Source organism: Homo sapiens, chromosome 16 (assembly GCF_000001405.40).
Source record: "Homo sapiens chromosome 16, GRCh38.p14 Primary Assembly".
Taxonomy (NCBI): Eukaryota; Metazoa; Chordata; class Mammalia; order Primates; family Hominidae; genus Homo; species Homo sapiens.
Window position 1 is genome coordinate 10795232 of NC_000016.10, and position 24282 is coordinate 10819513.

General features: G+C 47.2%; 1 protein-coding gene across 13 annotated transcripts in view, besides 1 other annotated feature; it reads right to left on the reverse strand.

Moving 5' to 3' along the window:
* TVP23A (trans-golgi network vesicle protein 23 homolog A) overlaps window positions 1-23563 on the reverse strand; it is a 61477-nt gene extending 37914 nt beyond the window's left edge. For 9 of the 13 annotated variants that reach the window (NR_134905.2, NR_134906.2, NR_134902.2 and 6 more), the window contains exons 1-2: window positions 23254-23563; window positions 22872-22951 (exon numbers count right to left, since the gene is read on the reverse strand). Coding sequence is in view for 3 of the 13 variants with exons in the window: in XM_047434604.1 (XP_047290560.1) it covers window positions 22872-22951; window positions 23254-23262 (89 nt within the window). In the remaining 10 variants the exon portion in view is untranslated. Of the gene's footprint in view, window positions 1-5065; window positions 5108-13305; window positions 13376-22871; window positions 22956-23253 lie in introns of those variants that run through there. The other 4 variants (NR_134904.2, NR_134901.2, NR_134903.2 and 1 more) reach the window with 3 other exon arrangements.
* Window positions 17931-17980: an enhancer, noted in NCBI's record as "active region_10388". NCBI's record gives its function as "activates an Ori minimal core promoter by ATAC-STARR-seq in GM12878 lymphoblastoid cells {active_cell/tissue: GM12878}" and the evidence as "EXISTENCE:reporter gene assay evidence [ECO:0000049][PMID:35858748]".
* Window positions 23564-24282: the final 719 nt, after the last annotated feature.

Here is a 24282-nt window from a genome sequence, read left to right on the forward strand (position 1 = left end):
TCCATGAGTTTATATGATGCTTTTTTTTTTTTTTTTAAAGACAGAGTCTCGCTCTGTTGCCCAGACTGGAGTGCAGTGGCATGATCTTGGCTAACTGCAACCTCCACCTCCCGGGTTCAAGTGATTCTCCTGCCTCAGCCTCCCGAGTAGCTGGGATTACAGGCGTGCACTACCACGCCTGGCTAATTTTTGCATTTTTGGAAGAAATAGGGTTTCACCATGTTGGCCAGGCTAGTCTCGAACTCCTGACCTCAGGTGATCTGCCTGCCTTGGCCTCCTCAAGTGCTGGGATTACAGGTGTGAGCCACTGTGCCCGGCCTATCTGACACTTAAGAAAAACCCTCATTGCTCACCTCATGGAAGACGCAGGGGACCGAACTCATTACTTTGAAAACTGAGCAGCGAAGGACAAGTTTCAAGCATGCATTATGCCTTTTCTCTACAAAGTGTACCGTGCAAGGACCACACATTCGATGAGGGGAGTTTCTCCTTCTGGATCCCTTCAGCTCACAAATGAAATGATAGAGTCAGAATGCCACCGCCCTGTCACAATCCCTGAAGAATTCAAGGATGGAGGACTGAGCACCAACGGTTCCTGAGAGACCGCCAGGCGCTGGGAGCCTCCTGATGGAAGAACATACCCCCTCCTTTGAAGACCACATGCTGAAAACACTCGGATCTGGATAACATCAGGACTGTAGCTCTCACTACTCATTTACAAGAAATACAGAGAACCAAGGAAAATATTAAAGGATGCAACAGGATGCAACCAGCAAGCCTCACAGAACAACAACTCGCCTGCAAAGCAAAAAAAATAAAAAAATTTAAAAGATGGGCTGGGCACGGTGGCTCATGCCTGTAATCTCAGCACTTAGGGAGGCTGAGGCAAGAGGATCGCTTGAGCCCAGGAGTTTGAGACCAACCTGGGCAACATGGTGAAACCTCATCTCTCCAAAAATAATAATATAAAAAGTAGCCAGGCGTGATGGTGTGTGCCACTTGGGAGGCTGAGGTGAGAGCCTCACTAGAGCCCAGGAGTTCAAGGCTGCAGTGAGATGTGATCATGCCACTTGCACTCCAGCCTGGGCAACAGAGCAAGACCCTGTCTCAAAAAAAAGAACAATTTAAAAGATAAGAAAGAGAGAGCGAGAGAGAGGAGAGGGTGAGAAGCCTATGTAGTAAAAGGGATTTTATTTTATTTTATTTTATTTTATTTTTTGAGATGGAGTCTGGCACTGTTGCCCAGGCTGGAGTGCAGTGGCACGGTCTCAGCTCAAGGCAAGCTCTGCCTCCCGGGTTCACACCATTCTCCTGCCTCAGCCTCCCAAGTAGCTGGGACTACAGGCGCCCACGACCATGCCCAGCTAATATTTTTTTTTTGTATTTTTAGTAGAGACAGGGTTTCACCGTGTTGGCCAGGATGGTCTTGATCTCCTGACCTTGTGATCAGCCCGCCTCAGACTCCCAAAGTGCTGGGATTACAGGCGTGAGCCACCGCGCCCGGCCCATAAAAGGGATTTTATATAGCAACCAACTGTAATATTGTGATGTGTGGATGTTATTTCAGTTACGACTCAAATGAATAAGCTGTAAAAAATAAAGTTATGAGACAATCAAGGATAGGGACGCTGGCTAAATATTTCATTCCATTTGAGTATTGTGAATTATTTTAAAGTTTAGAAAACTGGAATCTGGGCACGGTGGCTCATGAACCTTGGGAGGCTGAGGCAGGAAGGTGACTTGAGCCCAAGAATTCGAGAACAGCCTGGGCAACATAGTGAGAGCTCATCTCTACAAAAAATCAAACAATTAGCCAGGCGTGGTGGCATGACCTGTGGTCTCAGCTACTCAGGAGGCTAAAGTGGGAGGCTCACTTGAGCAGGGGAGGTCGAGGCTATAATGAGCCCTGATCATGCCACTGTACTCCAGACTGGGTGACAGAACAAGACCCTGTAGAAAAAAAAAAAAGATTGAAAGTTCAGAAAATTCTATTGTAGTTTTATTTTTAAAAATGAATCTTGGCCAGGCGCAGTGGTTCATGGCCTTTGGGAGCCACTTTGGGAGGCCGAGACGGGCGGATCACCTGAGGTCGGTAGTTCGAGACCAGCCTTACCAACATGGAGAAACCTCATCTCTAATAAAAATGAAAACATAAAAAAAAAAATAAAAGAATAGCCAGGCATGGTGGCACATGCCTGTAATCCCAGCTACTCGGGAGGCTGAGACAGGAGAATCGCTTGAACCTGGGAGGCAGAGGTTGTGGTGAGCTGAGATCACGCCATTGCACTCCAGCCTAGGTAACAAGGAAGAAACTTCATCTCAAAAAAAAAAAAATGATTCTTATCAAAAATTAGCCAGGCGTGGTAGTGCGCACCTATAATCTCAACTACTTGGGAGACTGAGGATTGAACCTGGGTGGTGGAGGTTGCAGTGAGCTAAGATCATGCCACTGAACTCCAACCTTGATGACAAAGTGAGATACTGTCTCTAAAAAAAAAATCATTTTTGTCTCTTAGGGATATCAAAATATGTATATTTGAATTGATGTGATCTCTGTGGTTTGCTTCAAAATGATCGGGGGAAGGTGAAAAGCTGGGATAGAAATGCGAAATGATTGGTCATGAATTGGGCATCATTGAATGAGGGTGATAGGGACATGGGATTCACTGTATTATTCTATTTTGTATGTTTGGAATTCTCTATAGTAAATATTTTTTCTTTTTCTTTTTTTTTTTTTTTTTTGAGATGGAGTCTTGCTCTGTCTCCCAGGCTGGAGTGCAGTGGCGCCATCTCGGCTCACTGCAAGCTCCGCCTCCCGGGTTCAAGCAATTCCCCTGCCTCAGCCTCCCGAGTAGCTGGGACTACAGGCACCTGCCACCACGCCCAGCTAATTTTTTGTATTTTTTTTTTAGTAGAGACGGGTTTCACCATGTTAGCCAGGATGGTCTCGATCTCCTGACCTTGTTATCTGCCCGCCTTGGCCTCCCATAGTACTGGGATTACAGGTGTGCGCCCGCGCCCGGCCTTTTTTTTCTTTTTTTAAGTAATCAGGGAAGCAGACTACTTCCTTTCAAATTACAGTTCTGCCATTTACTTGTGTGACCTTGAGCAAGTAAGTCAACATTTCTGGGCCTATTTCCTCACCTGCAAAATGGAGATAATCACATCTACCTAACATCAAGGCCTGGAGCACAGTGGACACGGTAGATACCCATGCGTTTGTTCCTTCTTTGGGATGGGACCTGTGGTAGCCAGCCTCTGAGATGGCCACCGGTGATCCTGACTGCCTGGTGGTCATACCCTCGTGTAGTCACGTCTCACAATGAAGCAGGGGTCCTGGTCATCAGAGTGGCCAATAAAATATATCAGAAGTGATTGTATGTCACTTTTGAGATTAGGTTATCAACGACATGGCAGCTTATGTTTTGTTTTTGTTTTTGTTTTTGTTTTTGAGATGGAGTCTCACTCTGTCGCCAGGCTGGAGTGCAATGGTGCGATCTTGGCTCACTGCAACCTCCACCTCCCGGGTTCAAGTGATTCTCCTGCCTCAGCCTCTCAAGTAGCTGAGATTACAGGCACACACCACCACACCCAGCTAATTTTTGTATTTTTAGAAGAGATGGGGTTTCACCATGTTGGCCAGGATGGTCTCGATCTCCTGACCTCATGATCTGCCTGCCTTGGCCTTCCAAAGTTCTGGGATTACAGGTGTGAGCCACCAAGCCCAGGTGACTCTGTTTCTGTCTTGATCACTCTCTCCCTCATTCTCCCTAGGGCAAGCCAGCTGCCATGTTGGGAGCAGCCCTATGTTGAGAGGCCCACATGGCAAGGAACTGAGGCCTCCAGCCAACAGCCATGGGAGGACGCCATCTTGGACACAGCTCCTCCTGCCCCAGTCAAGCCTTCTGATGACTGCAGCTCTGAGCAACCTCTGACTACAACCTCTGGAGACCCTGAGCCAGAACCACCCAGCCGAGCTGCTCCAATTCCTGAACTTCAGGTATAAGATAATAAATGTTTGTTATCTGTAGCTGCTAAGTTGGGGGAAATCTGTCATGCATCAAAAGCTCCCTGCTACAGGCTCTAATGTTGAAGAAGTTCTTTTTGTTTTTGTTTGCTTGAGACAGAGTCTCACTCTGTTGCCCAGGCTGGAGTATAGTGGTGGGATCTTGGCTCACTGCAACCTCCGACTCCCAGGTTCAAATGATTCTACTGCCTCAGCCTCCCGAGTAGCTCGGATTACAGGTGCCTACTACCACGCCTGACTAATTTTTGTAGTTTTAGTGGAGACAGGGTTTGGCCATGTTGGTCAGGCTGGTCTCAGACTCCTGACCTCAGGTGATCCTCTCATCTCTGCCTCCCAAAACGCTGGAATTATAGGCGTGAGCCTACATGCCCGGCCTGTTGAAGAATTTTAACTCTGCATAAGGTATGTTGTTGTGTTAGGTGGTTTCAAGGGGCAGGAAAGACAAGGAGAGTGAGGTTCCTCTTAGAAGCAGATGGTGAAATGAGGGGTCCCAGGCTTACTTGAGGAGAGTTGGGGGTGAGTGGATGAGACCATGAGGACAGCTGTACTCACATTCACCTTTTCAAAACAGGGGACTCGGAGTTATTAACTGATGGACAGAAAAGAGCAGAGAGGCCCGAGACTGACTTTCCAGAAGTCTGGAGCAGAAACCAGCCAGCCAGATGGCATGAAAAGAGGGAGTGGCTCACAGAGATTGCAGAAGTTATGGAGCCTTTATTCTTGTTTTTGTTTTCACCCTGAGTGGGGTTCTTTTTTTTTTTTTTTTTTTTTTTCGCACTGGCAGTAAAAAGTAGTATTCCCCCAGTTATATGCTTTTCATTTTCTTTTCTTTAATTGAAAACAATTTTTTTTTTTAGAAACAGGGTCTTGCTATATTGTCCAGGGTAGTCTCAAACTCCTGGGCCAAGCCTGCCTTGGCCTCCCAAAGTGTTGGGATTATAGGTGTCAGCCACTGTGCCTGGCCTTGTGCTTTTTCTTCTGAAGAGCTTCTAGATTCTGCTAGAAACTGGACAAGATCTGAAGGCAGCAAATACTCACTTGTGTCTGCTACCTGGCTCTTGGGAACTTCAGTTTCCTCATCTGCAAAATGGAGAAAGAATCTTGTCTTCCCTTGCATTTTTATTTTTGACCATTTTAATATTTCTGGAACCAGGGTGTGTCTACTAATGGTTGCAAATATTTAATATGGTGTTTATGTCCCACCTCTACTTCTTAAAAGCTATAACCAAACCAATGTACCCTAAAATGTATGGCATTCTAGAAACTATGGACATCAGTGGTAAACCCTAACTCAGTGGTTATTTAATGGGAGAATTGAGTGGTCATATTAACTCCTTCAGCAAATACTGAATCACTACTGCAACCTGGCCTGTGGGAGGCTCTTTAGTTTATTTATTCTTTTTGAACAGCCTATAACTTTTTAAAAAGCATTTTTGGCCAGGCAAAAATCACAGGTGGCTCACACCTGTAATCCCAGCACTTTGGGAGGCTGAGGTGGTTGGATCGCTTGAGCTCAGGAGTTCAAGACCAGCCTGGGCAACATGGCGAAACCCCATCTCTACTAAAAATAATTTTTTAAAAACTTAGCCAGGCATGGTGGTGCACACCTGTGGTCTCAGCTATTTGGGAGGCTGAGGTGGGAGGATCACTTGAGCCTGGAAGGCAGAGGATACAGTGAGCCAAGATTGTGCCACTGTACTGCAGCCTGGGCAACAGAGCAAGACCCTGTCTCAAAAAATATACTTTGTTAAAAAAACAGTATTCCTGCTTTTTGTCAACAAAAGGATGTCCCAGATCCAGTCTGACTGGTTTCTGCCTCAAGACTTAGAATCAGCTCCTTTCTAAGGAGTCCTGGGTTCTTTGAGTGGCAAAGAGAATGAAAGACCAAAATCTGGGGCCTGGGATTGTAGGTAAGAGGTAGTGGATGACGAAAGAAAAAAAAAATGCGATTTCTAGGCCATCTTTAGTAGTGGCACAGCTCAAAAAAAGAAAATGTCCCTTTATCCTAACATCATTTCTGCAGTATCTCTGCCAAGAAGCATAACCTGGATATAATCAGGAGAAGCATCAGACAGACCCAAATTAAAGTGTATTCCTCAAAATTGCTGCCCTTTTACTCTCCAAAAATGTCCATGTCATGAGAAATAAAGAAAGGCTCGGAATAGTTCCAGAATAACTAAATGCAATGGAGATCCTGGATTGAGTCTTCTTTTTTTTTTCCTGAGTCTCGCTCTGTCACCCAGGCTGGAGTGCAGTGGCGCGATCTCAGCTCACTGCAACCTTCACCTCCTGGGTTCAAGCGATTCTCATCCCTCAGCCTCCTGAGTAGCTGGGATTAGAAGCACATGCTACCATGCCTGGATAATTTTTGTATTTTAGTAGAGATGGGGTTTCACTATGTTTCCCAGACCGGTCTCAAACTCCTGAGCTCAGGCGATCCTCCCGTCTCAGCCTCCCAAAAGATTACAGGCATGAGCCACCGCCCAGCCTCTGGATTGAATCTCGAACTGAGAGAAAAAATTACTCTAAAGGACAATGGAATATGAACTACAGATTAGATAGTCTCTTAGTTTCCATAATCGCACTCTGCTTACATAAGAGAATGTCCTTTTCTTACAGTACACATTGATGGCTGGACACAGTGGCTTAAGCCTGTAATCCCAGCACTCCGAAAGGCCAAGGCAGGAGGATTGCTTGAGCCTAGGAGCCCTGGCGCAATATAGCAAGATCTTGTTTCTACAAAAAATAAAAAATAAATTTAAAAAGTGCACATTGAAGTATTTAGGGGCAAGTGGGCATGATGTGTTACTTACTCTCTAACAGTTTAGAGAACAAATACACATACACACACACACACACACACATACACACACACACAACTAGGAAGACTCAGAAGCCAACTGGAAGAGGCTCCTACTGGTCAACAATGGGACAATTTGAGTAACAACAAGAGTATGTCTGCATCCATGAGTTTATATGATACGTGTGTGTGTGTGTGTGTGTGTGTGTGTGTGTGTGTGTGTGTGTATATGTGTGTGTGTGTCAGAGTCTCATTCTGTCACCCAGGCTGGAATGCAGTGGTGTGATCTCGGCTCACTGCAACCTCTGCCTCCTGGGTTCAAGTGATCCTCCTGCCTCAGCCTCCAGGGTAGCTGGGATTACAAGCATGTGCCATCATGCCAGGCTAATTTTTGTATTTTTAGTAGAGACGGGGTTTTGCCATGTTGGCCAGGCTGGTCTCCAACTCCTGAGCTCAAGCGATCCTCTCGCCTCAACCTCCCAAATTGCTGGGGTTACAGGTGTGAGCCAGTGCACTCGTCCAATTAGTGAATCTTGGTAAAATGTACCCATCAGTTCTTCGTACTATTCTTGCTACCTTCCCGTAAGTCTGATATTATTTCAAAGTAAAAAGTTTTTTTTAAGTTATTTTAAGGACACTAACTCAAAATATCATTTTCCAATTCAACGTATCTTGCTGCTGTATTTTACATATTTATTTTATTTGCAGTTTCATTAACCACTAAAAAATCCCCACCACTCTGTAAATAGTAAGTTTTGTCATTGCTGTGTGTATTTTAGGTTCCATGTTTATTTGGTGCTCCACATAATCACGAATGCTAAATTTGAGATGTCATTTAAATTGCGCAAGGATACAGAATTAAGTTTATGGTCAACACATAAACGTTTTTAATTGATTTTCAACACTGCTTAAGAAACATTGAGTTTAATAAATTGAGCTGAGAGGCTGGACGCAGTGGCTCATGCCTGTAATCCCAGCACTTTGGGAGGCTGAGGTGGATGGATCACCTGAGGTCAGGAGTTCAAGACCAGCCTGGCCAATGTAGCAAAATCCCGTCTCTACTAAAAATACAAAAATTAGCTGGGCGTGGTGGCGGGTGCCTGTAATGCCAGCTACTCAGGAGGCTGAGGCAGGAGAATCACTTGAACCCAGGAGGCGGAGGTTGCAGTGAGCCGAGATCGCGCCACTGTGTGTGTGTGTGTGTGTGTGTGTGTGTGTGTGTGTGTGTCAGAGTCTGGGCGACAGAGCAAGACTCCGTCTCAAAACAACAACAACAAAAACACATAAATTGAGCTTAGAGCAACAACAACACATGTGTGGAGAACCTCCCATCTACCAGGTGGAGGGCCAGGTCAGAGGGCAGTGAACAGGCTGGACAAAGTTCTGCCCTCCCAGATGTTACTCATCTCTAGCAGGGAGGGAAAGGAGCTCAGGAGTGGTTTCGACCCAGTGTGCACAGTGTCATTAATGGGTAAACAGAGTCACAATCAAAATATTCAACAACTGATATGGGATGACCACTGTCTAATGAGAATGGCCAACGGTGCAGGGTCCCATCAGCTGGTCCTGGTGTTCGGGGTTCTGACCCTTTAGTTGTGGGAGCTTGTCCCAGCAGGGTATCCATGAGGCTCTCGGTTCTTTATTGACATTTTAACCAACACAAGGACCCAAGAGGTGGACACAACAGCTGACCATCAGGGCTGGGTAGACATTGGGGTTGTGGGAGCTAAGGAGAGATGCCTTGTTACAGAACACTGCTTAGCAGTGATGTAGATTAGGATCTACAGGACATGGGGTTTTTTGGGGTAATGAAAATGTTTGGAAATTAGACAGTGGTGATGGGTGCACAACCTTGTAAATATACTAAAACCAATGAATTAAATAATTTAAAGGGGTGAATTTTGAATTCATGATATATGAAATCTATCTCAATTAAAAAATGTATTTTAAATTTTGTTTTAAAGATCTAAGGACAAATTTAGGAAGCAAGAGAGCAGCATATACAAAGGCCAGGGGCTGAACAGGAACATGGGGCTCTGGGTGAGTGGCCTTGGATGGCCTCAGATGTCCATATGCACAGCCTGACCGTGGGGCTGGCCTATCCACACAGGCCCCTCAGGCCCCTGTAGGTGGCTTCAAGAGGTTTAGGGAGAAAACCACGGCATCAGGGAGGAATTCCAACTCAAGGCCTCTTGGGCCCCTGGAAAATGCTTTCGTTGGGATAATATTTTCTCACCACTGTTTTCAGGGCTGGGGTTGGGGGCTGCAACCTCAGGTGCTCACAGGGCCGGGCAAAGCTGGGAAATCAGTCAACTGAGTGGGTGAGGGCCGAAGCTCACCCACAGGCAACTCCTGGCAACTCCAGACCATTCTTCTGGCTCTAACAGATTTCCAAAAGAAGCCAGCAGGCCGGGCACAGTAGCTCATGCCTGGAATCCCAGCACCTTGGGAGGCCAAGGCAAGAGGATTGCCTGAGGCCAGGAGTCTGAGACCAGCCTAGGCAACTAGAGAGACCCTATCTCTACAAAGAACAAAAACATTAGCCGGTGTGGTGGTACATGTCTGCAGTCCCAGCTACTCAGGAGGCTGAGGGGGGAGGATCGCTTGAGCCCAGGAGCTCGAGGCTGCTGAGGGCTGTGATCATGCCACTGCACTCCAGCCTGCGCCACAGAGCTAGACATTGTCTTTAAAACAAACAAACAAAAAAGCCAGCAATCATATTTTTAAAAACCAATTTAGTGAAGTGAAATTCACAACCCACAAAATTAACCATTTTAAAGTACACACTCCAGTGGCATGAAGGGAACAATTCATACTGTTGTCCCAAACATTTCCATCACTCCAAAGCAAAACCCTGTACCTCTTGGGCAGTTTCTCCCCATTCTCCCCACTCCTCCCAGATCCTGACAGCCACCAATCTGCCTCTGTCTCGGTGTGTTCATCTATTCTGAGCAATCCAGATTTTTAATGTAATCTTTTCTTTTTCTTTCTTTTTTTCAGACAGAGTCTCGCTCTGTCGCCCAGGCTGGAGTGCAGTGGTGTGATCTTGGCTCACTGCAACCTGCTGGGTTCAAGCGATTCTTGTGCCTCAGCCTCCCAAGTAGTGGGGATTACAGGTGCATGCCACCACGCCTGATTAATTTTTGTATTTTTAGTAGAGACAGGGTTTCACCATGTTGGCTAGGCTGGTCTTGAACTCCTAACCTCAAGTGATCTGCCCACCTCAGCCTCCCAAAGTGCTGGGATTACAGGTGTGAGCCACTGCACCCAGCCTAATGTGATCTTTTCTAATTTTAAATTTTAAATTCAAATTAATGTAAAATATCTCCCTGGCCGACAAGAGCATACCGGAGGCTTGGAGTCAGTTGGCTGACTGTCACTTTGCAACTTTTATTCTAAAGTATCTTAAAGTCCAGGGGAGAGATACATCTGTACTTTAATGCAGGGAATCCATGAACATGATTTGTGGCTGTCTCTGAGTCATCTCGGAAGCCGGCTTGCTCCTGTCACGAGTGAAGGGTTAGCAGGGGGCCATGGAACCCCCGAGGCTGGGCTCCACGTGAAGAGGACTCCTCAGGGCTGAAGAAAGGCCCCTGGACGCTTTTTTATCACATTCCGCTTTACTCTCTCAAGTTACTTTGTTTTGATCATTGCTTATATGTTTATTGTCTTCTCCCTAAGTAAAATGTCAGCTCCAGGAAGGCAGGGACCAAGCCTATCTGGTTTTCTCTGTGGTCCCTAGAACTGTGCTTGGCACACAAAGGTCCTTGAAAATGTTTGTTGGTTTAATGAATAAATGAATGAGCAAAAGAATAAGCCAGTGGTTCTCAAAGAGGTGGGCGATCTGGAGTGTCCCCCAGCAATGTCTGGAGACATTTTGGTTGTCACAGTGGGGGCTGCTACCAGCATCTGCAAAACTCCTATGATACACAGGACAGATAATGACCTGGCCCCAAATGGCAAAAGTGCCAACCTTGAAATAAATGAATGATTAAATATTCGGCCGGATGCGGTGGCTCACGCCCTTAATCCCTAGCACTTTGGGAGGCTGAGGCGGATGGATTGCTGGAGGTCAGGAGTTTGAGACCAGCCTGGCCAACACAGTGACTCCTCGTCTCTACTAAAAATACAAAATGTAGCCAGGCATGGTGATACATGCCTGTAATCCCAGCTACTCAGAAGACTGAAGCAGAAGAATCACTTGAACCTGTGAGGTGGAGGTTGCAGTGAGCCAAGGTTGTACCAATGTACTCCAGCCTGGGTGACAGAGCAAGAGTCTGTCTCAAAAAGAAAAAAAGAAAAGAACTAAATACTCTAGGTCCATGCAGTCAAGCTGCCGTCCAAGATAAAACATCAAAGAACCTGGCCAATGTCCTCTCCCAAATGCCTTCCCAGATTATGTGGGTCACAGGTCAGCAGAAATCACACTTCAGATTTTATTGTTTTTTATTTTATTTTATTTTGACAGAGTTTCATTTTGTCACCCAGGCTGGAGTGCAGTGGCACAATCTCAGCTCACTGCAACCTTTACCTCCCGGGTACAAGCAATTCTCTTCCCTCAACCGCCTGAATAGCTGGGATTACAGGCGCCTGCCATCACGTCCAGCTGATTTTTTGTATTTTAGTAGAGACAGGGTTTCACCATGTTGCCTAGGCTGGTCTCGAACTCCTGAGCTCAGGCAACCCACCCGCCTCAGCCTTCCAAAGTGCATGGATTACAGACATGAGCCACCACACCTGGCCCTTCAGTGATTTTGTTGTGGACACAGCTTATGCAATAATTTCATGTGAACAAGAAATATAAATAAGAGGAAGTTAAGCTGCCTTAGATGTAAGGAGTTAATTTCAAAATACGTAATTCCGTGCCCTAATCAAAGAGAACTGAAATTTGTCTAGTTCCGTGATTCTGTGGGTTATTTTCCTTGGTAATCATGGACCTTCCTTAAAATTAAACAATCAGCTCTTGATGGGACCTGCTTATGTGTCATATTTCTATAATTTCAAAATAGATTTTAGAGAGCCGGTGACAATATAACTTTGTTCCCCAAAAGCTCAGGGGACAGGGGTCTGGATAAGGGGTCCTCACTCATTGAGGTGAGCAGAACTCCTGGAAAATCAACAAAGAAAAACTAAAAATCTTCTCCTTAGTGTGTGGGAGCATGATGTGTGTGCATGTCTGTGCGTGGGTACCAATTAGAGATGTGCTATTGTTGATTTCAGAGGATGAGTGCCCACCAAGGTGTCATCAATACTGTCACCTGTGCCCTCTCCTTCCTTGCCCCCCACACCTCCGGCTTCTCTTGGGTCAATGTCACACACAGAAGTATTAAGAGGTGCTTTGAGTTCCCTCAAATACAAATTTCACTTATCCAAATCCAAACCCCAGACAGAGAGGGGATAATCTAAATCAGAGATCTCAACCAGGGGCAATGTGGCTGTGAGGGGACACTTGGCCACATCAGGAGACATTTTTCATTGTCACATCTGAGGGGTTGGAAGCTACTGGCATGTAGTGGGTGGGGGCTGGGGTGCTGCCCAGCATCCTATGATACATAGGACAGCCTCCACCACATAGAATGATCTGCCTCAAATATCCATAGTGCCAAGGCTGAGAAGCTGCTCTAAAGAGTGGGGTCAATTCTGCATCAGCATTTACAGGAGGAACATATAAAGTACTCCCCAGGGTAAGCCTAAGATGGAAGCCCTGAATCTGCTGTTCTCACAGCAAAGCTCACGCTGAGTGTCTCGCCCTGTGAGTATCTGCGCACAATGTAATGTAAGATATGGAGTCTAGAGCCCGATTCCAAGGGTTCAAATCTCCTCTGTTTTTTCTTTTTAGAGGTGGGTTCTTGCTATGTTGTCCAGGCTGGACTCGAACTCCTGGACTGAAGCCATCCTCTCACCTCAGCCTCCCTAGTAACTGGGATTACAGGTGCATGCCACCGTGTCAGGCTCAAATCCCTTCCTTGAAGTGAACAGGTGTGTGACATTGAGCAAGTCACTCAGCTCTCTCTGTTAGCTTCAGTCTTTTTAATCTTGACTCTGAGAAAATGATAGTGCCTAGGTTTGTAATGAAGATGAAATGAATTATGCTAAATAAAAAACCTGGAATAGTGCTTGCATATAGTAAGTGCTGGGGAAGTGTTTGCTATTGTTATTTTTCATTCAACATAAGTTCCCCCAAACAGCAGCCAACAATTTCAAGCGGGGCTCATGTCCAGGACTGCTTTTGTATCCAATGGCAGATAAAGTGATGGCTAAAGACTTCTTGAAAGACAAAAGTTACTTGATTGGCTAGTTAGGGATTTTCAGGGGTGATTTTTACTTCACGTGTTTGCCTGAAGACCTGAGCCCACTAACATGTGATTTCCTGTAGTGTCTGAGACCACAGGACAATGATCTTCTCAATATGACATTCACTAGGCTGAACAAGGACCAACCAAGAAATAATAAGCAGGCTGGGTGCAGTGGCTCATACCTTTAATCCCAGCACTTTGGGAGGCCAAGGCAGGAGGATCACTGAGGCTAGGAGTTTTGAGACCCGGTCTCTACAAAAAATAAAAATAAAATTAGCAGGGTGTAGTAGTGCATGCTTGTATTCCCAGCTACTGAGGAGGCTGAGAAGGGAGGATTGCTTGAGCTCAGGGGGTTGAGGCTGCAGTGAGCCATGATTACACCACTGCACTCCAGCCTGGGCAACAGAACAAGATCTTATCCCCCCACAACTCCCCAAAAGAAAAAGAAACACTGGTCAAACCCCACAAACAAAACCAGCTCTGACAGCTGAGACCAAAATTAGATCTAAGAAATCTGTCTGTGGCAGGAAGAGACTTTCCTACTTTGGGTGGAAATTCATGGAAGCCCATGACCTTTGGGTTCGGAGGAATTCTGTGAAAACAGTGCCTTGAAAGCATAACATAACTTTCCACAGGAAGACAGTTTCCAACTCCAGGAGAACTCCAGTGTGATGGGGTGAGCTGAGAACATGCCTCTGCACAGCCCAGGATGCGGAAGTCACACTCGTGATCAGAATAACAGGTGCCACTTCTGAAGCCCACAAGGGGCATCAGGAGCCCTGCCAGGTCCCCTAAACACATTGTGCACCTCATTTAATCATCTTTTTACAACCTTATAATACAGCCAACATCAACCCCATTTTACAGAAAAGAAAAGTGGGTACCCAGAAGGTGTCATGGTCACTGTTCAAGTTCAAGGTCACTGTGAGTCAAGGGTTAACATCGGGCCTGGGCTGATGGGGGCCTGCCTGGGAATGACCCTGGCCTCCCGTAGCACAGAGGCTCCACGAGGACTGTTGTATCTGCCACCCACTGCCCCTGCACTGGAGGGACTGAGTTGGCCAGCAGGCCTTGGGTCTGGGTAAACAGAGTCATAGAAAAGGTTGGTGGGAAACGGAGGCTACAGCTTCTGTGATTCAAGGTAACCCATAGTGCTTTGGCTCTCGCCTGTGGCAGCCAGACACAATTCTTGCAGTAGTAGAGCAAAAGGAGCTATGTGGGTGCAGGGGCTAGATCTCCCAATGAGCTGAAGATGCCCTACCTCTGTCTTCCTATAGAGCTGAGGAAACATAGTTTTATATCAAAGCCTATTTGCACCTGCCAGCTTGGGCCCAGAACTGTACTGTGGGGGTGCAGTCACTTGGCTAGGGAGTGGTAGAATCAAGATCCAGGTCTGTCTGACCTAAAGCCCAGGCTCCTCCTGCATCCCAAGGCAGCTGGAAACCCACAACACTCACTCACAGCTGGTCTGCAACACAGCACGGCTAAAACAGAGTTACCATGTGGCCCAGCAATTCCACTCCTAGGTATGTGCCCAAAAGAACCAAAAATGTATGCCCCAAAAAAAGCACGTACATAAACATTCATAGCAACATTACTCATAACAACACAAAAGCAGAAACAACTCAAATGCCCATCAATGTATGAATGGATAAACAGAATGTGGTATGTCCACACAATGGGTGATTATTTGACCATCAAAAGGAATGAAATAATGGTAAACACCTAAACCGGGATGAACCTGGAAAATATGCTAAGTGAAAGAAGCCAGACAAAAAGCCACATATTGTACAAAACATGTGTCACCTAGACTGGGCTAAGGGATACCCAGATCACATCTGGGTCTGTGAAGGTGTTTCTAGGAAAAAAAAAAAATTAGCATTTGAATTGGTGGACGGAGAAAAGAAGATCCACCCTCATGCAGTGGCTCATGGCTGTAATCCCAGCACTTTGAGAGGCCAAGGTGGGAGGATCACTTGAGCTCTGGAGCTCAAGACCAGCCTGGGCAACATAGTGATCCCGTCTCTACAAAAAATAGAAAAATTAGGCAGGCGTGGTGGTGCATGCCTGTAGTCCCAGCTACTCAGGAGGCTGAGGCAGGAGGATCAATTGAGCCCGGGAGGTGGAGGCTGCAGTGAGTTGAGATCACACCATGGTATTCCAGCCTGGGTGACAGAGCAAGACCCTGTCTCAAAAAAAAAAAAAAAGAAAAGAAAAGAAAAGAAAAAAGAAGGCCCTCCCTTCCCAATCTGGATGGGCATTATCCAAACCTTTGAGGGCCTGAATACGACAACAAAGAAAGGAAGAGGGAATTTCCTCTCCCTGCTTGAGCTAGGATAGCCGTCCTCATCTCCTCTCAGACATCATACCTCCTGGTTTTGGGGCCTTTGGAGTCAGACTAGGCCTTACACGTCGGCCCCTCTGTTCTGGGGCTTTCAGATTCAGAATGAGACACTGTAGGCTCCCCTGGTTCCCAGGCCTTCGGGCTAGGATGGGTTTTATGCCACCGGCGTTCCTGGGCCTGCTGCTTGTGGATGGCAGATCGTGGGACTTCTCAGTCTCCAAAATTGCATGAATGAATTCCTCATAATAAATCTCTTTCTCCATACTTACAGATATCCTATTGGTTTTGTTTCTTTGGAGATCCATGACTAACCCAGATTTCATTTACATGAAATGTCCGGAACAGGCAAATTCATAGGAACAGAAAGTAGACTAGTGGTTCCCAGGGGCTTGGGGAAAGGGAAGATGGGTAGGGACTGTCTGATGGGTACAGGGCTCCCATTTGGCGCAGTGAAAAACTTCTGGAACTACATAGTAGTAATGGATGTACAACCTTGTGAATGTATCAAAATCAAAACTGAATCATACACTTTTAAAGAAGAAATTGGTGGAATGTGAATTATATTTCTTTTTATTTATTTTGTTTTTTGAGACAGGATCTTGCTCTGTCACCCAGGCTAGAGTGCAGTGGTGTGATAATGGCTTACTGCAGCCTTGACCTCCCAGGCTCAAGCAATCTTCCTACCTCAGCCTCCCAAGTACCTGGGACTACAGGTGTGTGCCACCACGTCTGGCTACTTTTTGTATTTTCTGTAGATAACGGGGTTTTGCCATGTTGCTCAGGCTGGTCTCAAACTCCTGGCCTCAAGCAATCCACCTGACTCAGCCTCCCAAAGTGCTGGAACTACAGGCATGAGCCACAGTGCCTGGCCATGAATTATATTATATTAAATTAAACACACACACACACACACATACACTGACACTAAAAGCAAAGGAAACAAAAGGTACAAATCGGCCACTTTAGGAGGCCGAGGCGGGCGGATCACGAGGTCAGGAGATCGAGACCATCCTGGCTAACATGGTGAAACCCCGTCTCTACTAAAAATACAAAAAGTTAGCCGGGCATGGTGGCTGGCACCTGTAGTCCCATCTACTCGGCAGGCTGAGGCAGGAGAATGGCGTGAACCCGGGAAGTGGAGCTTGCAGTGAGCCAAGATCACGCCACTGCACTCCAGCCTGGGGGACAGAGCAAGACTCCGTCTCAAAAAAAAAAAAAAAAAAAAAGTACAAAAAGGCAAACGGAATTACATTAAACCTAAAAACTTTTGTGCATCAGAAGACACAACCAACAGAATGAAAAGGCAGCCTATAGAATAAGAGAAAATATTAATATACAGAATAAAGACCTCAACAACAAAAATCCGATAACTGATTAAAAAAAACGGGCAAGAGACTTGAATAGACATTTCTCCAAAGGTGATATACAAGTGGACACATAGCACATGAAAAAATGCTCAGCAGCATCATTAACCATTAGGGATATGCCAATCTACACCACAACGAAATACCATGGTTATCACACCCATGAGGTGGTTACTATCAAAAACACAGTCAATAACAATGTTGGCAAGGATGCGGAGAAACTGGGACCCTTGTACAGTGTTGATGGGATTGTAAAATGGTGTAACTGATGTGGAAAACAGTATGGTAGTTCCTCAAAAAATTAAAAATAGAACTACCATAGGATCCAGCAATCCCACTTGTGGGTATATGGCCAAAAGAATTGAAAGCAGAATCTCAAAAAGAGATTTGCATACCCACATTCATTGCAGTACTGTTCTCAACAGCAAGAGGTACAAGTGTACCCAAGTGGATGAATGGGTCAACAAAACATAGTTTATTCATATCATGGAACTATTATCCAGCCTTAAAAAGGAAGGAAATTCTGGCACATTTTGTAACATGGATGAAACTTGAGGACGTTATGCTAAGTGAAGTAAGCCAATAAAAAAAGGACAAATACTGTATGACCCTTTTATGGGGTCCCTAGAGTAGTCAAATGCATACAGACAGAAAGGAGAATGGTATTTACCAGGGGCTGGGGGAAGGAGAGTTGTTAAACGGCACAGAGTTTCAGTTTTGCAAGATGAAAACACTCTGTTTCACAACGTGACTATACTTGAACTACTAAACTGTATAATTTAAAATGACTAAGATGGAATTTTACGCTGTGGGTTTTTTTTAATCACAGTTTTTTAAAGTTGAAAAAAAAAGTAAAAAGAAATAAAAAGTTTGCCCACCGGGGAAAAACACATACAGCATGGCTAACATTTCCTCTGTGTGCCCAGCTCTGCTGTGGAATCACACCCTCCACTGATCCTGCAAGATGTGATGTACTTCCCAGGCCCCCCACCGCAACACTGCACCTCACTGACCTGGAACCAGGGACAGAAAGAGCAGAGACCAGAGCTCCATCCCCAGGGCTTAGCCCAGCACCTGCCCCTGGCAGATGTTGAATAAATATTTAGTAAATAAACTGTATAATAACCACGTGGTGAAGTCAGGCTGATACAATTATCCCCATTTTACCGACTGGCCAATGGAGGCCCAGCAAAGTAAGGTGACCTGTCCAAAAATCACAAAGCCAGAAAGTGATAAAGGAAGAGATGAACCCAATGTCCCAGACTCCTGTGACAGGCCCCCTTCCACAGCATCACCTCCTTTCGATGTCAGCCTGGAATCCATTTCAACAAGGGATTTACAAATAACTGTTTTCACTCTATACTAGCGATTCTTAACTTTTTTGGATCATGGGCCCATTTGATAATCCAATTAATGTTTGGATCCTTTGGGAGCACTTTGGGAAGATGAGGCAGAGAGATCGCTTGAGTCCAGGAGTTTGAGATCAGCATGGACAACATAGCAAGACTCCGTCTCATAAACAAACAAATAAACAAATAAATAAATAAAGTTTGGATCCTTTTTCTAAAACAACACACATATGAAACTTAGATAATAGTTTTCAGAGGTTTCCTGAACCCCTGAAGCCCATCTGTAGACCTCAGTTAAGAATTCCCTTTCTAGGCCGGGCATGGTGGCTCACGCCTGTAATCCCAGCACTTTGGGAGGCCAAGGCACTAGGATCACTCAAGATCAGGAGTTCAAGCCTGGCCAACATGATGAAACCCTGTCTCTACTAAAAATACAAAATTAGCCAGCGTGGTGGCACGCACCTGTAATCCCAGCTACTCAGGAGGCTGAGGCAGGAGAATCACTTGAACCCGGGAGGCAGAGGTTGCAGTGAGCCGAGATCGCACCACTGCACTCCAGCCTGGGCAAAAAGAGTGAAACTCCATCTCAAAAAAAAAAAAAAAAAAAAAAAAAAAAAAATTCCCTTTCTACACTGCAATCTGGGTAAATTCATTTGTTCTCAGGATTTTAGAGCCATCTCTACATTCCTACACATCAGAATCAATGGGGTGCTATTTTAAATTCATGTTCCTAGGCCCATCCCCTGTGAATCTGGTTAAATAAGTCCAGGGCCAGACCCAGGAATCTGCATTAGGCACACCGAGGATTCTGGGATGGGTGGCTCTCAAACATACCCACCTGGATACATGAACTGCTGCCTCCCAGATCTCTGATTGCAGCCCTGGTGACTTCTCGAGCTCCTGGCCTCTCCTCCCAGCTGTCCACTGGCTACTAGAATGTTCCAACACAGACTAACAAGGACCACTCTGAGTTCAACATCTTTCCCCCAGAAGTGCTTCTTCACCTGACTCACCAGACCACCAGCCTGAGTGTCACCCTGATGATCCCTGTCCCTACCCCACATCTTGACCACCAGCAAGGCGGGCCGATTCTACCTCCCCTGTGCCTCTGGGCCCCTTTCCTCTGTCATCCCTGCCAGTGCCTTGGTCTGATCTCCTATCCTACTTCCACCCCAACAACCCAGCCTCCATCACTGCCCTGAGCAAAATCCTTCCATGGTGACCGAACTCTGGAACTGCCCTGCCCAATGCCACAGCCACATGTGGCTATTTACATTCAAATTAATTAAATAATATCAAAACATTTGTCCCTCAGGCGCCCTGGCCACATTTCAGACATTTAATCACCACAGGTGGCTGAGGCCACCGTGCTGCACAGCACAGATAAAGGCACAGCCCCATCCTCATAGAAGGTTCAGTGGACAATGCACCTCCAGAGCTTGGAGCTTGGTTGCTAAGTGCTGCAGGGTCTGGCCCCGATCTCCACGCAGGCCACTTCCCAGCACCTGGGTCTTGAGCCACATGGAACCACCCTAAATTCATGACCTTACCTCCAAGCCTCCCCATGGTATATCTACCCTTCCCAGCCTAACCAACTCCTACCCTACCTGTGGGTCCCAGCTTAGCTGGTACCTCCTTCTCTGGCCAGGATAGGAGCCCCAGCTTCTGCCTATCCCAGCGTTTAAAATACTGAGTTCTGGCCAGGCACAGTGGCTCACACCTATAATCTCAGCACTGTGGGAGGCTGAAGTAGGTAGGTAGGGAGGCTGAGATCAGGAGTTTGAGACCAGCCTGGCCAACATGGCGAAACTCCATCTCTACTAAAACAAAACAAAACAAAAAACATAAAAATCAGCCAAGCGTGGTGGCGTGCACCTGCAGTCCCAGCTACTTGGGAGACTGAGGCGGGAGAACTGCTTGAACCCAAGAGGCAGAGGTTGTAGTGAGCCGAGATTGCACCACTGTGCTCCAGCGTGGGTGACAGTGAGACTCCATCTCAAAAACAAAAACAAAAACAAAACAAAACAAAAATACTGAGTTGTAATAGCCACTGGTATGCCTACTCCCACCCTGCAAACCAGTGGTTTTCAACCGGGGGCAAGTTTGCCCCACAGAGGATATTTGGCAATGCCTGAGACTTTATGGATGGGCTGCTACTGGCATCTGGTGAATAGAGGCCAGGAATGCTGCTAAACATCCCACGGTGCACAGGACACTCCTTACAGCAAAGAAGTATCTGGCCTAAAATGTCTGGAGTGCTAACATTAAGCAAACCTGCCCTAGATTGGGCAATCTGTAAAGGCAGGAGTGGGGTCCTGAACACTGCATTTCCCCAGCCACTAGCCCAGAGTTGAGCATACAGTAGATACTCAATAGAAATTGAACACATATGAGTTCAGATGTTCTAGAAGATTCTTTACCCAGGATTCCAGTTCTTTTGGAATCTTCATTTGCAGTGTCTTCCCTTAAAGATAATCATTGGCCATTATGGTGGGATGAATAATAGCCTCCGAAAATATCCAGGTCCTGGATGGGTGCAGTGGCTCATGCCTGTAATCCCAAGGCTTTAAGAGGCTGACACGGGAAGAGTACTTGAGGCCGGAAGTTCCAGATCAGCCTGGACAACATACCAAGACCCCATCTCTACAAAATTAAATTTTTAAAAAATTAGCCTGGCATGGTGGCAACACCTATAGTCCTAGCTACTAGGGAGGCTGAGGCAGGAGGAACTCTTGAACCCAAAAGTTTGAGGTTCCAGTGAGCCATAATTGTACTACTGCACTATATAGCCTTGGCAACAGAGCAAAACCCTATCTCAAAAAAAAAAAAAAAAAAAAGAAATCCAGGTTCTAATCCCCAGAAATTGTGACAGCCACCATATATGATGAAAGGGACTTTGCAGATGTAATTTAATTATTTAATTAAGAATTTTTTTTTTTTGAGACAGGGTCTCACTCTGTCGCCCAGACTGGAGTGTAGTGGTGTGATCTCAGCCCACTGCAGCCTCTACCTCCCGGGTTCAAGTGATTCTCCTTCCCCAGCCTCCTGAGTGGCTGAGATTACAGGTGCATGCCACTACACCCAGCTAATTTTTGTATTTTTTGTAGAAACAGGGTTTCACCATGTTGGCCAGGCTGGTCACAAACTTCTGACCTCAAGTGATCTGCCCGCCTTGGCCTCCCAAAGTGCTGAGATTACTTACAGGTGTGAGCCATGCACTCAGCCTATAATTAAGGATCTTGAGATGCAAAGGTTATCCTAGATTATCTGGGTGGACGCTAAATGCCAACACAATAGTCCTTATAAGAAAGAGGCACGGGGGAAGTGGGGAGGGATAGCATTAGGTGATATACCTAATGCTAAATGACGAGTTAATGGGTGCAGCACACCAACATGGCACATGTATACATATGTAACGAACCTTCACGTTGTGCACATGTACCCTAAAACTTAAAGTACAATAATAATAAAAAATAAATAAAATAAAAAAAAAGAAAGAGGCACAGGGAAACTTCACACACACACACACACACACACACACACACACACACGTCACCTGACCATGGAACAGAGAGAGATGTGAACATGCTATAACACTGGCCTTGAAGACGGAGGAACAGGCCACAAGCCACAGAATGCCAGCAGTCACCAAAAGCTGGAAAAGGCAAAGAATGGATTTTCCCCTAATTCTTCCGAAGGGAGTGTGGCACTGCTGCCACCTTGGTTTCAGCCCAGGAACACTGACTGTGGACTTCTGGCCTCCAGAACTGCAGGAGAATAAACTTCTTTTGTCTTAAGCCAAGATGATAATGGTAATTTGTTCTAGCGGCCATAGGAAACTAATACAGTCTATTACTTTCTGGGGTTTATTAGGTTTGAATCAGAGAGTTTGATTTTAAAAACAGAGACTTTACAAGGAATGGCATTTGGGTGCCAGGGCTCGTCCCATGCCTACTGGCTCTGATAGCTGGAAGCAGAACTGGGTGGGTGAGTGAGGCTGAGCTGTGGGTGTTTCTAGAAGTGGCTGCCGCCTGGGCCATCGGCAACCACGTTCACAGGTCATCCCTCATGCCTTGGTCATGCCACCTTCTGGGATGCTAGAGGTCTCAGGCAGTTAAGTGACTTGACCCAGGACAAGTCTGTCTAGCTAGACTCAGCAGGGATTAGAATAAAACTCCAAGCTCTCTTCCACTTGTCCAGCCCACTGCCAAGCTTGCTCCCCTCTGGCCTCAGTGGCTTTCTCTGATCTTACAACATAGCCCCAGGGCCTTTGCGCTTGCTGTTCCTTCAGCTTGGAACACTCTCCCTCTGGAGTCTCCCATGGCTGGCTGCTTCTCATCATTCTGGTCTCAGCTCAAATGCCACCTCCTCAGAGAGGCCCTCCATGGCTGCACTAAGGCAAGTGGCCTTCTCTAGTTACCTTCTCTTTCATCACAGGGCTGATTTTCTTCTCACATTCAATTATCTCATTAATCTCCTTGCCTGTTCAACATCAACTCCACCCCTTCTTCCTCCCTCTCCCAATGCAGGCTCCAGGAGGGCAGGGACTTTGTCTGATGTGTCCACAGATATGTCCCCAGCCCCAGACCTGGCACACAGTAGGTGCTCAATATATTTTGAATGAATGAGTGAGTAAATGAATGAATTTGCAGCTTTGGGGAACGCCTGACCCAAGCTCCATCCCAACACACCTGATCTTGGCTTTCCTAAAGGCCAGCTCCTCCTCGTTTCCAAAGTCCAGGGACACATCCTCGGTATCGTCCACCAGGGCCTGGGAGGAGAGCAAGGGCAGGTGGCAGGCCCAAGCACGGCGCACACCCCAACCCCACCCGCCCTGTCCTCCTGGGCTTGGACTCCACTTGCACCCCACCGGGTTCCCAAGTGGACCCTCCGAGCTGGCGGGGCCCCTCCGCTGCGGCTGCAGTGCAAAGCCCTCTCCACCCTCCCGACCACCGGGTGCAGCCCAGCCCCAGGCCCCGGCGCATCCCTCCTCCTCCTCCCGGCTTCTCCAGCGCTCCCGCAGGCTCCCCTCGTCCCGCCCCGCCTCCAGCCCCAGCATCCCCGAGGCCCTACCTGCTTCATCACCCTCCCAGGAGCCCACCTGGCGCCCAGGCCCGGGGCTCCAGCTCCGCCCGTCGCCGCTGAAGGGGTCGGACGCCGGGCGGGCGGATGTAGGCAGCAGACGGTGGACGCTGAGGGTCGGGGCCTGCGCCCTGTGGGGCAGCCTCAGCGCAGCTTCTCGGGTGGGGCGGGGCGCTCGGGGCCTAAGGCGCAGTCGCAGGCTGGGGAGGGGGCTCGGCTCGCCGGGGACGCGCCCAGGAGAGAAAGCGGCGGCAGGGAGGCAACGGCCTGGGGAACTGCGGACAGAGATAGTGGGAGGAATGGGAGTCGGGGGCGGGGGGCGGCTGCGTCAGCGAATGGTGTGGACGGCGCATAAACGTGGATGTAGCGAATGATAAGGCAGTGAATGAATGTCAGTGGTGGGCAGCCGCATTCAGGGTTGGGAGAAGGTCAGTGTTTCCCAACAGTCTCTGCGCGCAAGAAATTCCCAGGAACCTTGTGAAAAGCAGATTCTCAGGCCCGGCCCGGGGGATGTGGAAGGCCTGGAGTGGGGCCCTAGAATCTGCCTTCCCCGCGCCCCCACCCCCCACGACAAAATGCAGTTAGGATGGGCCCTGCTGTGTTCTTTTTTGGGGGGTGGGGTGGGGAAGGCAGATTCTAGGGCCCCACTCCAGGCCTTCCACATCCCCCGGGCCGGGCCTGAGAATCTGCTTTTCACAAGGTTCCTGGGAATTTCTTGCGTGCAGAGATTGTTGGGAACATTCTCTGCACCTAGGCTGGAGAGCACTGGTGCCATCGTAGCTCACTGTGGCCTCAAACTCCAGGGCTCAAGCAGTCCTCCCGCCTCAGCCTCCCGAAAAGCTGGGACCACAGGCTGCACCACCACACCTAGCTAAATTTTTATTTTTGTAGAGAGGAGGGTCTCACTATGTCGCCCCGGCTAGTCTTGAACACCGAGGTTCAAGCCATCCTCCTGCCTCAGCCTCCCAAAGTGTTGGGATTACAGGAGTGAGCCACCACACCCGGCCTCACCTGCCTTTT